Source organism: Homo sapiens, chromosome 10 (genome assembly GCF_000001405.40).
Source record: "Homo sapiens chromosome 10, GRCh38.p14 Primary Assembly".
NCBI classification, from domain to species: Eukaryota; Metazoa; Chordata; class Mammalia; order Primates; family Hominidae; genus Homo; species Homo sapiens.
The window spans coordinates 52,174,027-52,188,217 of NC_000010.11; the positions used below are offsets into that span (position 1 = coordinate 52,174,027).

The 14,191-nt window shown below is 37.7% G+C and overlaps 1 protein-coding gene across 5 annotated transcripts in view, besides 3 other annotated features; it reads left to right on the plus strand.

Moving 5' to 3' along the window:
* PRKG1 (protein kinase cGMP-dependent 1) overlaps window positions 1-14,191 on the plus strand; it is a 1,307,463-nt gene that overhangs the window by 1,183,139 nt on the left and 110,133 nt on the right. The window contains exon 10 of one of the 5 annotated variants that reach the window (XM_011539952.3): window positions 10,662-14,168. The exons of the other annotated variants lie outside the window; for them this stretch is intronic. Coding sequence (XP_011538254.1) covers window positions 10,662-10,806 — 145 coding nt within the window. The 3' untranslated portion in view covers window positions 10,807-14,168. Of the gene's footprint in view, window positions 1-10,661; window positions 14,169-14,191 lie in introns of those variants that run through there. 5 annotated transcript variants of the gene reach the window in all.
* Window positions 6,452-6,952: an enhancer, noted in NCBI's record as "H3K27ac hESC enhancer chr10:53940238-53940738 (GRCh37/hg19 assembly coordinates)". NCBI's record gives its function as "activates a minimal SCP1, AML or CMV promoter by ChIP-STARR-seq in primed H9 embryonic stem cells {active_cell/tissue: H9 hESC(primed)}" and the evidence as "EXISTENCE:reporter gene assay evidence [ECO:0000049][PMID:30033119]".
* Window positions 6,953-7,453: an enhancer, noted in NCBI's record as "H3K27ac hESC enhancer chr10:53940739-53941239 (GRCh37/hg19 assembly coordinates)". NCBI's record gives its function as "activates a minimal SCP1, AML or CMV promoter by ChIP-STARR-seq in primed H9 embryonic stem cells {active_cell/tissue: H9 hESC(primed)}" and the evidence as "EXISTENCE:reporter gene assay evidence [ECO:0000049][PMID:30033119]".
* Window positions 11,613-11,818: a silencer, noted in NCBI's record as "fragment chr10:53945399-53945604 (GRCh37/hg19 assembly coordinates)". NCBI's record gives its function as "represses an EF-1alpha promoter that drives an FKBP-Casp9 reporter gene in an ReSE screen in K562 erythroleukemia cells {active_cell/tissue: K562}" and the evidence as "EXISTENCE:reporter gene assay evidence [ECO:0000049][PMID:32094911]".

Below are 14,191 nucleotides of genomic sequence, written 5' to 3' on the forward strand. Positions count from 1 at the left end.
CAAAATGTCACAATATCTTTCAGGAAGTTGTTTTCCCAAATCTAGTTCTCTTGCTCACTATGCTAGTAATCAGGTTTTTTTAATTTATTTTTTATTTTTTGGTAAACTCCTTGTAATAGGACTCATGGTTTTTCCTCTCAAGCCCCTTAACTTTATGATATTACTTAAACAATTAAATTAATGATGAAGAACATGCTTTAGTCTTTATAAGAATTCTGCATTTCACATGAGCTCCAAAAAGTTCCCTTAAGTTTAAAGAAAAAAAAAAGGCCATTGAAGAAGTAACAACTTTATAGCAGATGATGCTTTTTTGAGTGACAGCAACAGCTAGGAGAGTATATCAGCTTCTTTCTTCAGGAAGTTGTTGACATACACATTGATTAATATTAATATTCTCTTCTGCACTGACATGAGTGATCAGAGCAATAACTTTATATGCCAATGAATAGAGGGGAGCAGGGAGAGAATTTAAGAAAAAAGGACTATAAAGAAGCATTTAATTACTTATCAAGATGTGATTACCGTACTTCAAATTTTAAAAAACCAAAGAGATAGTATAAAACTATAGCATTAAAAATAATTGCATTATATGGGTTGTGTCTCTATTGCTCATGTTTTTGGCTATTTATTTCATTCATAAGCCACACTAGGAAATCATAAAAATTAAGTAAAAATGCTTCCTCCTCCAAGAAGCACACATATTCCCAGCGACATGTATTTCCAAATAATGAAGCACATATATTCCTAGATAATGTTCAAAAATAGTATGACCAAAGGCAAGACATATCTGCTTTATATGATTTTATTTTTATCTACATTGTTATATCAATGCATCTTTATTTTTAATTGATATATATAACTGTTCATATGTACGGGGTATATAATGATGTTCCAATACATATAATGTATAGTGATCTGATCAGGGCGATTAGCATATTCATCATCTCAAACATTTATGATTTCTCTGTGTTGGGAACATTCAATATCACCCTTTAGCTATTTGAAACTATCATTAACTGTGTCATCCTACAATGATATAGAACATTAGAATATATTCCTCCTATCTAGCTGCAATTCTGTGTCCTTTAACAACTCTCCTTGTCCGCCATTTTCTCCTAATTTTTCCAGCTCCTAGTTTCCTTTGTTTGACTTTTTAATTCTATGTGATCAATTTTGTTTTCAGCCTCCACATATGAGTGAGAACATGCAGTGTACAACTTTCTGTTTCTGGCTTATTTCACTTAACATAATGTCCTTCAGTTCCATCTATATCGCCACAAACAACAGAATTCCATTTTCATGACTGAATAATATTCTATTTTGTATATATACCACATTTTCTATATCCATTCATCTGTTTTTGAATCCATATCAACACCCAGGTTGATTCCATATCTTGGCTATTGTGAATAGTACTGCAATAAACATGGGGAGACAGATGTCTCTTCAATATACTGATTTCCTTTTCTTTGGTTAAATGCCCAGTAGTGGGATTGCTGGATCATATAGTCATTTTCTTTTTAGTTTTTTTCGTGGAACTTCATACTGTTCTCCATAGTGGATATTCTAGTTTACATTCCCACCGACGGTATACAAGAGTTCCGTTTTCTCTGTATCCTCACAACCATTTGTTATTTTTTGTCTTTTTGATAAAAGCTATTCTAACTGGAGTAAAAAGATACCTCATTGTGGTTTTGATTTGCACTTCCCTGATGATTGGTATGTTGAGCATTTCTTCATATATTTGTTGGCCATTTGTATGTCTTCTGTTGAAAAATATCAGTTCAAATCCTTTGCCCATTTTTTAATCCCATTGTTTGGTTTTTGCTGTTGAGATGTTTGAGTTCCTTGTGTATTTTGGATAGTAATGCCCTATTGGATGAATAGTTTGCAAATATTTTCTCTCCTTCTTTAAGTTATCTTTTCACTCTGTTGATTATTTCCTTTACTGTGCAGAAGCCTTTCAGACTGATATAAGTTTATTTGTTTATTTTCACTTCTGTTGCCTGTGTTTTTGAGGCCTTATTCAAAAAATCTTTTCCTAGGCTGATGTCTTGAAGCATTTCCTCAATATTTTATTATTGAGTTTTGCAGTTTGGGGTCTTACATTTCGATCTTTGATCGATTTTGAGTTTTTTCTTTTTCTCTTTTTTTTTTTTTTTTTTTTTGTAGGGTGAGAGGTGGAAGTCTAGTTTCATTCTGCATATTGGTACCCAGTTTTCCTAGCACCATTTATTGAAGGGACTGTTCTTTCTCCAGTGAGTGGTCTTGGCACCTTTGTGAAAAATCAGTTGGCTATAGATAAGAGGATTAATTTTGAGTTCTCTAGTCTGGTCTATTTTTTTCTGTGTCTTTTATTATGCCAGTTTCATGCTGTTTTGGTTACTACAGCTTTGTAGTATATTTTGCAGTCTGGCAGTGTGATGCCTTCAGGTCCACCCTACCACCCACCACCAGGATTGCTTTAGCTACTCAAGATTTTTTATGGTTCCATACAAATTTTAAGATTTTTATTTATTTTTCTGTGAAGAAGGTTATTGATATTTTGATAGGGATTGCATTAAATCCATAGATTGCTTTGGCTAGTATGAACATTTTAACAGTATTAATTCTGATCCATGAGTATAAGATGTCTTTCAGTTTGTATCTTACTCAGTTTTTTTCATCAGTGCTTTGGGGTTTTCGTTGTAGAGGACTTTCACCTCCTTTGTTGAATTTATTCCAGGTATTTTATTTTATTGTAGCTATTGTAAATAGAATTGCCTTCTTTATTTCTTTCTCAGCTAGTTTATCGTATGTGTATAGAAATGTTATTGATTTTTGTATGTTGATTTTGTATCCTGCAACTTTACTGAATTCATTGATTAATGTTAAGGGTTTTTGTGGAGTCTGTAGTTTTTCTCTATATAAGATCATGCCCTCTGCAAGGCTGTAAACAGGGACAGTATGATTTCCTCCTTTCCAGTTTGGATGCCCTTTATTTGTTTCTCTTGCCTAATTGCTCTGGCTAGGACTTCCAGTACTACGTTGAAAAAGATTGGTGAGGTTGAGTATCCTTGTCTTATTCCAGGTCTTAAAGGAAAAGCTTCAGATTTTACCCATTCAGTATGTTAGGTGACTGTCATATATGGCCTTTATTGTGTTGAAGTATGTTCATTCTGTAACTAATTTATTGAGAGTTTATATTATGAAGGGATGTTGAATTTTCTCACATGCTTTTTCTGCATCTGAGATAATCATAAGTTTTTTATCCTTCATTCTGTTGATGGTATGTATGACATTTATTTATTTGCATCTTTTAAACCATCCTTGCATTTCTGGAAAAAAATCCCATTTGATCATGGTGTATTTTTGATGTATTGTTGGATTCAGTTTGCTACACTTTTATTGAAGATGTTTATGTCTATGTTCATCAGGGATATTTGCCTGTAGATTAATTTCTTGATTGTGTCCTTGTCTGGTTTTGACATCAGGGTTATGCTTACTTCATAGAATGAGTTAGGAAGAGTTCTCTCCACTTCCATTTTTGGAATATTTTGAGAATAATTGATAATAAATCTTTAAATGTTTGGTGGAATTCAGTGATAAAGCCCTCTTGTCCCATACTTTTGTTGGGAAACTTTTATTACTGATTTGATCTCATTACTTGTTATTGGTCTGTTAAAGTTTTTGAAATTTTGGGGCTTTCAATCTTGATAGATTTTATGTGTCCAGGAATTTATCCATTTTCTCTAGGTTTTCAAATTTACTGGTGTATAGTTGCTTATAAAAAACCCCCTTATGATCCTTTGTATTTCTGTGGTCTCTATTGTGATGTCTCTTTTACCATTTCTTATTTCATTTATTTGGTTCTTTTTTTTTTCCTTAGTCTAGGTAATGGTGTGTTGATTTTGCATATCTTTTCAAAAAAACAACTTTTTGTTTTATTGAGTTTTGCATTGCTTTTTTTTTTTGGTCTCAATGTTATGTATTACTACTCTGATATTTACTATTTCTTCCCTTCTACTAATTTGGGGTTTGGTTTGTTCTTGCCTTTCTAGTCCCTTGAGATGCATCATTACATTGTTTATTTGAAATATTTCTAGTTTTTTTGATATAGGCATTTCTTGCCATCAACTTGCTTCTTAAGAATGCTTTGCTGTGTCCCATAGGTCCATAAGTTTGGTTATGTTGCATTTCTATTTTCATATGTTTTAAGAAATTTTTAAATTTCATTTTACATTTCTTTCTTCAGTCATTGGTCATTCAGTAGGATGTGGTTTAATTTGTACACATTTTTATAGTTTCAAATGTTCCTCCTGTTAATTGATTTATAATTTTACTCCATGTGGTCAGATAAGATACTTGATATAATTTAAAATTTTTTAATATTTTGAGAATTTTGTAACATATCATCTATCCTGGGGAATGTTCCATATACTGATGAAAAGAATAGGTATTATGAAATTGTTGGCTGAAATGCTCTGTAATATCTGTTAGGTTCATTTGCTCGATGGTGTACTTTAAATCTAATGTTTCTTTGTTGATTTTTTTTTTGTCTAGTTGATCTGTTCAACACCGACAGTGGGATGGATGTTGAAGTTTCCAGTTACTGGGATTTATCTCTCCCTTTAGATCTAATAATATTTGCTCTATATATCTGGGTGCTCTGGCATTAAATGCATATAGATTTACAGTTATATTATTTTCCTGAATTGATACCTTTATTATTATATAATGTCCTTCTTTGTCTCTGTTTGGAGTTTATGACTTAAATCTTGTTTTGTCTGATGTAACTATAGCTACTCCTGTTGGCTTTTGTTTTCCATTTGTGTGAAGTATCTTTTCCCATCCCTTCCTTTTCAGTCTGTGTGTGTCTTTACGGCTCAGGTGAGTATCTTGTAGCCAGCATATGGTTGGGTGTTGTTTTTTTTTTTCTCTTTAATCCATTTAGCCAATCTATATTTTTCAAATGAGAAATTTAATCCATTTTAACTCAAGGTTATTATTGACAGGTGAAGACTTATTCTTGTCATTTGATTCATTTTTTTCTTGTTGTTTTGTATATCCTTTGTTCCTTTCTTCCTCCCTTGTTTATTTTTGTGGTTGGGTGGTTCTCTGTGGTGATAACATTTGATTCATTTTTCTTTTTCCTTTCTGTATTAACGCTGCTGGTGACTTTTATAGTGTTGCATGTTTTCATGATTCTAATTATTTTTTCATTTTCAAATGTGTGACTTCTGGGAGCATTTCTTCTAAGGCCAGTCTACTAGTGATGAATTCCCTTAGCTTTTGCTTGTTTATGACAGATTTTATTTTTCCTTCATTACTGAAGGATAGTTTAGCTTGCCATAATATTATTAGCTGACAGGTCCCCTCTTCTACTTTTGGTACTTTGACTATATCACCCCATTCTTTCATGGTCTTCAGATTTCTGCTGAGAAATCCACTTTTATTCTAATGGGGGTTCCCTTATGTGTGACTTGACACTTTTCTCTTGCTGTTTTTAGAATTCATTCTTTGTTTTTTGCTTTTGACAGTTTGGCTATAACGTGCCTCAGAGAGGATGTGTTTTGGTTGAATATATTTGGGGATCTTCAAGCTTCCTAGATCTGGATGTCTATCTCACAGGGCTTGGGAGATTTTCAGCTATTATTTTATTAGATACACTTTGTTGTTGTTGCTGCTGTTGTTTTTGTTTGAGATAGAGTCTTGCACTCTCACCTGGGCTGGAGTGCAGTGGTTCAATCTCAGCTCACTACAACCTGCACCTCCTGGGTTCAAGCAATTATCCTGCCTCAGCCTCCCAAGTAGCTGGGATTACAGGCACTGCCACCACACCTAGCTAATTTTTTGTATTTTTAGTAGAGATGGGTTTTCACTGTGTTGGCCAGGCTGGTCTCAAACTCCTGATTTCGTGATCTGCCCGCTTTGGCATCCCAAAGTGCTGGGATTACAGGCGTGAGCCACCGTGCCCAGCCTAAATAGATTTTCTGTACCTTTTGATTTCTCTTTCCTTTCTGAAATACCCATAATATGAATAGTTGTTAGCTTAATGGTCCCTCATAAATCGTTTAGGCTTTCTTCATTACTTTTTATTATTTTATCTTTTTTTCCTCTCTTTGTCTGCCTGCGTTATTCAAAAGAGCTGTCTCCAAGATCAGAAATTCTTTCTTTTGTTTGGTTAGTCTGTTGTTGAAGTTCTCAACTGTGTTTTTAAATTTATTAATTAAATTCTTGAGCTCTAAAATCTATTTGATTCTTAATATCTGTCTCTTTGTTGAATTTCTCATTCAAATCATGAATTGTTTCCCGGATTTGTTTAAATTGTCTATCTGTAATCTCTTATATCTCACTGAATTTACTTAGAATTATTACTTTGGATTTTTCTTTGGACATTTTGAACGTTCATTTGGACGTGTAGTGTTGTCTTGTTTTTCATGTGTTTGATGTGTCCCAGTGTTGATTTCCATTCATCTGGTGGAACAGTTATCTCTTCCAATTTTATTGTATAGGTTGGATAGGGAAAGATTTTACTGATGTATGTGGGTCTTAGGATGTTGGTTTATAGGAGTGTGTTGACTTTTATTGTAGTTTAGTGCAGCAGTGTAGTCTCCGTGTAGTTTCTTCAGCTGTAATCCATGCTAGTGATGTTCGCTAGTATCTTAGTGGCCTAGGCTGAGGATTTGTGTTGTTGGTGGTGTAACTTTGCCAGACATCGGCTTGTCAGGCTGTTTCTCAGGTTAGGAGCATGTACATGCGCACGGTGAGTTGGCCAATTTGAGGTCCGGCTCACAGGGATTTGGACCATGGGGCTGTTACTCTGGCTGGGGGCATGGGTGCACAATTTCCTGCCCAGGCTGGGGGCATGCCAGCCAGGTGTGGCCCATGGGGCTGTTTCTTAGTCCTGGTACATGGCTGCCTGGCTTCTCAGCTGGCCTGAGTGTATGTCTGTTGGAGGTGTTTTCCCAGGCTTTTTCTCAGGTCCATGATTTGGGTGTAAGGCTGTTTGGCCAGCCTGGGTGTGTGTCTATCAGGGGCAGCCAATAAGGCTATTTTTCAGACTTGGGATGTGGGTGCACAGTTGCTTGTCCAACCTGGGGGCTTGTCTGCTAGTGACAGCCCTCAGGGCCATTTCTCAGGACCAGAATGGGGTTTCACAGCTCTTGGTTCAGTCCAGGAATGTGTCTATAAGTGGCAGCCCATGGGTCTGTTTTTCAGGCCTAGAACATGGGCACATGGCTTCTTAGCTAACTTAGGTACATGTCTCCTGGGGGTGGCCTGGGACATGAGAACACAGCTGCTCAGTCAGTTTGAGGTCAAGCTGCATTAATCTGTTTTGTGTTGCTGTGAAGGAATACTTGAGACTGGGTAATTTATAATGAAAAGAGGTTTATTTGGCTCACAGCTCTTCTTTTTTTTTTTTTTTTTTTTTTTTTAATTATACTTTAAGTTTTAGGGTACATGTGCACATTGTGCAGGTTAGTTACATATGTATACATGTGCCATGCTGGTGCACTGCACCCACTAATGTGTCATCTAGCATTAGGTATATCTCCCAAAGCTATCCCTCCCCCCTCCCCCGACCCCACCACAGTCCCCAGAGTGTGATATTCCCCTTCCTGTGTCCATGTGATCTCATTGTTCAATTCCCACCTATGAGTGAGAATATGCGGTGTTTGGTTTTTTGTTCTTGCGATAGTTTACTGAGAATGATGGTTTCCAATTTCATCCATGTCCCTACAAAGGACATGAACTCATCATCTTTTATGGCTGCATAGTATTCCATGGTGTATATGTGCCACATTTTCTTAATCCAGTCTATCATTGTTGGACATTTGGGTTGGTTCCAAGTCTTTGCTATTGTGAATAATGCCGCAATAAACATACGTGTGCATGTGTCTTTATAGCAGCATGATTTATAGTCATTTGGGTATATACCCAGTAATGGGATGGCTGGGTCAAATGGTATTTCTAGTTCTAGATCCCTGAGGAATCGCCACACTGACTTCCACAATGGTTGAACTAGTTTACAGTCCCACCAACAGTGTAAAAGTGTTCCTATTTCTCCACATCCTCTCCAGCACCTGTTGTTTCCTGACTTTTTAATGATTGCCATTCTAACTGGTGTGAGATGATATCTCATAGTGGTTTTGATTTGCATTTCTCTGATGGCCAGTGATGATGAGCATTTTTTCATGTGTTTTTTGGCTGCATAAATGTCTTCTTTTGAGAAGTGTCTGTTCATGTCCTTCGCCCACTTTTTGATGGGGTTGTTTGTTTTTTTCTTGTAAATTTGTTTGAGTTCACTGTAGATTCTGGATATTAGCCCTTTGTCAGATGAGTAGGTTGCGAAAATTTTCTCCCATTTTGTAGGTTGCCTGTTCACTCTGATGGTAGTTTCTTTTGCTGTGCAGAAGCTCTTTAGTTTAATTAGATCCCATTTGTCAATTTTGGCTTTTGTTGCCATTGCTTTTGGTGTTTTGGACATGAAGTCCTTGCCCACGCCTATGTCCTGAATGGTAATGCCTAGGTTTTCTTCTAGGGTTTTTATGGTTGTAGGTCTAACGTTTAAATCTTTAATCCATCTTGAATTAATTTTTGTATAAGGTGTAAGGAAGGGATCCAGTTTCAGCTTTCTCCATATGGCTAGCCAGTTTTCCCAGCACCATTTATTAAATAGGGAATCCTTTCCCCATTGCTTGTTTTTCTCAGGTTTGTCAAAGATCAGATAGTTGTAGATATGCGGCATTATTTCTGAGGGCTCTGTTCTGTTCCATTGATCTATATCTCTGTTTTGGTACCAGTACCATGCTGTTTTGGTTACTGTAGCCTTGTAGTATAGTTTGAAGTCAGGTAGTGTGATTTGGCTCACAGCTCTTCTACCTGTACAAGTATGGCACTAGCACCTGCTTAGCTTTTAGTGAGGCCTCAGGAAATTTTTACTCATGCTGGAAAGTAAAGGGGGAGCAAGCATTTTATATGATGAGAGAGGGATAAAGAGATAGAGGGGAGGAGGTATCAGGTTCTTTTAAACAATCAGATCTCATGTAAACTCATAGAGTGAGACCTAACTCATTACCATGAAGACATCACCAAGCCATTTATGAGACATCAACCTCCATGGCCCAAACACCTCTCACTAGACCCCACCTCCAACATTGGAGGTCACATTTCAACATATGATTTGGAGTGTACAAAACATCCAGACCATATCCTGTACCTGCCTGGGGCAGCCCACGGGCTGTTTCCTAGGCCCTTATGAATATGGGCATGGGGCTTTTGGGCAGGACAGAGTCATTTATGCAAGAAAGTGGGTACAAAGGAACTGTTTCTCAGGACCTGGGCGTGAGTATGTAGTGGCTCTCCTTGCCTAAGAGCATGTCAGCTGTTCTGTGGCACAAGGAGACCTCTCCCATTTGGGGAAGGGCCACAGCATTTTGGCTGTCTCAAGGGCAGGTTCTTCCTGGGTGGGACTGCCAGACTGTTCCTCCAGCTAGAAGTGTGGGTGGCAGGAGTTGGTTTTCCTACCGTCCAGGGCCAGAGTCATAGCTAATCCTGGGCCTAGGCTCTTCACAGCTTGGGTTATGGCATTCAGCCACCCATGTGGGCTTGGTGTAATGAAGATGGAGCCCCACTGCTGGATAAAAGTGTAGTGCCTACTGGCACCTAGAGGAGGGCATACTCCAGATGTGGCTCTGGTCTCAAGATGGTGCCATGATGCAACAGCTTGGCTTACAAAGCCTGGGTGGGGGTGAGGGAGTGCGCATGTTGTGTTCCTAATCTAGAGCAATGCAGCCATGTGAATTCATGGCAGCTCTTCAAACTGAGCTCTGGGCTTGCAATGACTATGGGATTCTCTGTAATATGAATTATCCTTATTTGTGATGGCAATGGGGGCTGCTAGTGTTCTTCCATTTACCTTTTCCCTACAGGGGGAAGTCCCTCCTGTCTCCAGGTCAATCCAATGTGTGTAGAGGAGATGAGGCTGCAGAGGTCAGGTGCCTCCCTGCTGCCCTCCTGGGCTTCCAGTCACCATGGGTGCCTCACTATTTCAGTGCATTCCCTTTGACACTCCAATGAAATTTTAGCTGTTTGTTCATTGCTTTGTCCCCTTCGTCAATCTATATTATTTTATTTTGTTAAAGTTTTGCTTTTTAAAATGTTACTATTCAAGAAAATAAAAATGAAACAGTTAAGAAATTAATAAAATTAACTTTGTATTATTCAAGCACATAATACTGCCAATATTTGAACATTTTTAGCCTACAAAAATGACAGTTTCATATGGTTCAACCTATGATTTTATAAGTAATTTCTGCTGTTGTGATTACTGCACAGTACTTAAGAATTAAAACACTCTCATCCATATCATGATATATTATTTAATTTAGAGGCTGAATTTCCTTCTAGATGTACCAGTGTTTATCAAATTATAATTTTAATAATTTCATAAACATTTCTAAATTAATCTATTCATAGGCTTGTTTTATAAGCCTAGGCCTTTTACTATTTTTTGTAATCTTAGCAATGTTACAGCTATACATAAAAATAAGGGATTTTTAATCTCTGCACTGTTGACATTTCAGGTGTGCTAGACCATTTTTATGTTACTATCAAGAACTACCTGAAGCTGTGTAATTTATATAGAAAAGAGATTTAATTGGCTCACAATTCTGCAGGTTCATCAGGGAGCATAATGCTGGCATCTGCTACTGCTGTGGCCCTCAGAAAGCTTCCAATTATGGCAGAAGGCAAAGAAGGAGCAGGCATATCACATGGCAAGAGCAGAAACAAGAGAGGGTGGGAGAGGTCCCAGACTTTTAAACAACTAGATCATGTATGAAGTAACGGAGCAATAACTCACTTATCACGAAGAGGATGATGCTCAACCATTCATGAGGGATCCACCCCCATGATCCAGTCACCTCCTACCAGGCTCCACCTCCGACACTGGGAACCACATATCAACATTAGACTTGGAAGGAACAAGCATCCAAACTGTATTATTCTGCTGCTGGCCCCCTAAATCTTATGTCCTCACATTGCAAAATATAATCCTCCCCTCCCAATAGTCCCCCAAAGTCTTACCTCATTCCAGTGTCAAGTCCAAAGTCTTAAGTCTTATCTGAGAGTTGTCTTCTTCCACCTATCAGACTGTAAAATCAAAACAAGTTATTTACACCCAAGATACAATGGTGGTATAAGCATTGGGTAAACATGACCATTCCAAAAGGGACAAATTGGCCAAAAGAACAGAGCTACAGGCCCCACATCAGTCCAAAATTCATCAGGGCAGACATTAAACCTTAAAGATCCAAAATAGTCTCCTTGGACTCCACATCCCACATCCAGTGCACACTAGTGCAAGAAATGGTCTCCCAAGCCCACTTGAGTAGCTCCACCCCTGTGGCTTTGCAGGGTGTACCCCCTGTGGCAGCTGTCATGGGTTAGGATAGAGTGACTGTGGCTTTTCTAGGCTCATGATGCAAGCTCCCTGTGGCTGTACCCTTCTGGGATATGGAGGGTGGAAGTCCCCTTCCTATAGCTCCAATAGACAATGACCTGGTGGGGACTCTTTGCAGGGGTGGCTTCAACCTGATATTTACCCTCTGTACTGCCCCTATAGAAGTTATCTGTGAGGGCTTCACTCCTGTGGCAGCTTCTGCCTCGGCACCCAGACTTTCTTATACATCCTCTGAAATCTAGGAGGAAGCTGCCAAGCCTCTTTTACTCTTGCATTTCGTGCACCTGCTGACTTTACACCACAGGGAAGCCACCAGGGATTATGGTGGCTTATGCTCTCTAAAGTGGCAACTTGAGCAGGATCTGGAGGCTTTTGAGCCAAAGATGGAGCCAGAGCAGCCAGGATGCAAAGAGCAGTGTCCCAAGGCTGCACAGGGTAGCAGAGACCTGGGGCTGGCCCCTGAAACTATTCAGTCCTCCTACGCCTTTGGGCCTGTGATGGGAGGGGCTGTCCCAAAGGTCTCTGAAATGCCTTCGAGGCCTTTTGCCCATTTTTAAATACCCTTATAGCAATGCCCCACTCCTCTGTATCAATTTTCTGTGTTAGGCCACTTTTGCATTGCTATAAAGAAATAACTGAAGCTGGATAATTTATAAAGAAAAGAGATTTAATTGGCTCATGGTTCTGCAGGCTGTACAAGAAGCATAGTGCTGGCACCTGCTTCTGGTGAGAGCCTTAGGAAACTTCCAGTCATGGTGGAAGGGAAAGGAGAAGCAGGCATATCATAGGATTATAGTGGTAGCAAGAGAGAGAGAGGTGGAGCATCCCAGACTTTTAAACAACCAAATCTCATGTGAACTAACTAAGCAAGAACTCACTTATCACCAAGGGACTGTTGCTTGGTGTGATTTGCCCCTATGATCCAATCACCTCCTGCTATTCCTGAAGGATTTTCCCCCAGGATCCAATCACCTCCTGCTATTCATGAAGGATTTTCCCCCAGGATCCAATCACCTCCCACCAGACCTCACTACCAACGCTGGGAATCACATTTCAACATGATATTTGGAGGGGACAAGCATTCAAATTACATCATTGGATGAGGTTATTCTTTGTTGCGTTATGTATCTTGTACATTGTAGCATGTTTAGTAGCATCACTGGCCTCTACCTACTAGATACCAGCAGCATATTATACATCCCAACTCTTGAGTTATGGCCATCAAAAATGTTTTAAGACATCACTAAATACATGTGGAGGAGCCAAAATCACCCTCATTTGAAAACCATTGCTATAAATAGAAGAAAAATAAATACAAAATTATTTGGGAAAACAACACTAAAATTACATTAGTATCAGGCATGGAATTTTATCAGGTGTTGAAAATGAGCCTCGACTTACTATAATTTTATGTCTAAAAGAAAATTTTAGGTGCAATGTGGAAGTCTCACAATTTGTATTTGACAAGACTTTTAAGCTTCACAATGGCAGGGTTTGCCAAAATCTGATTAATACAAATGTTAGACTAAAACCAAATTTTATAAAATAATTTATGCACATTCAATTTAGTTTCATAGGTTTATCTCCGATATTCAAGATTTAGAAAACTTTATTTTTACTACTTCAAAAAAAATCAGAATTTTAAGGATTATCAGACAATTAATTCACTTGGATAATCTGGCTTATCAGGATGCTAAAACTTTGATATTGTTTAAGATGTTAGACTTGGTAAATTTACTGAAGCTGGGAAAATACTTCATCTCAGTTTGCTTCTACACATTGTTGACTGGCATTTTTTTACATTAGATGTTAAGTCACTATAGTAGCCTCAAATGTATAATACAATGAATTTTCTTTATTTTCATATAACCCCTGAGTTACAGTAGTAAAACATGGCATTATATTAAGACAGAAAACACAAAAGAGATTTTAGGTAAAAAAAAAATTTATAATAGAAGACTGATATTACACTAGTAATATGATACAAGTGTATATTGTGAAACTGAATGCCCTATGAAAAACAATGAGTAGGCTACAGGCAAAAATAAGTGTTTATGAGAACTGGAAGTCACAAATTTGATAGTCTCTCCAAATCGCAGCATTTTTACATTACAAGTTCTGTCAACATGGTTTCATTAACTTTTAAAAATAAAGGGCATGACATTCTTTAAATTCCACCTTTGTGGTAATCACTAACAATAGATTCTGCCAGCACAATGCTATATTGTCATTCTGCTGCTCGTTGACATGATAACTAATCCCCAAATGCTACCATGAGCCAAACACTGGTCAATCTGACTTCCTGTTGATTGAGGGAAGACTCAGAAACAATTAGGGAGACACAACTATGTCAGCTGATAAGGTATTGTCATCTGTACATCCTCAGGTGCAGTAAGTGGACATTTAAAATGCAGATAATGTTGGAATTTTTATGCAAAAGAAGAAAGCAGAGTTTGGAACGTGATAGGATGTAGAATTGTTAAAAGATCTCAAGGAGAATAATAAATTAAAACAGTAGACTGCTGGAGTTATTGTAAAACAGTAGACTTTTACAATGGTTTTTAAACTGTGAGTTACAAACCACTAGGGAGTCATAAAGTTTATTTAGTGGATGATGACTAGCATTTTTATTACTTCAGAGTGCATGGTATGTACTAGTGTTGCTTTGTGCACTTTTTCATATTCACATATATAAGGAATGGGTATGATATCTATGTATGTGTGTGTGTATATATATATGTGTAT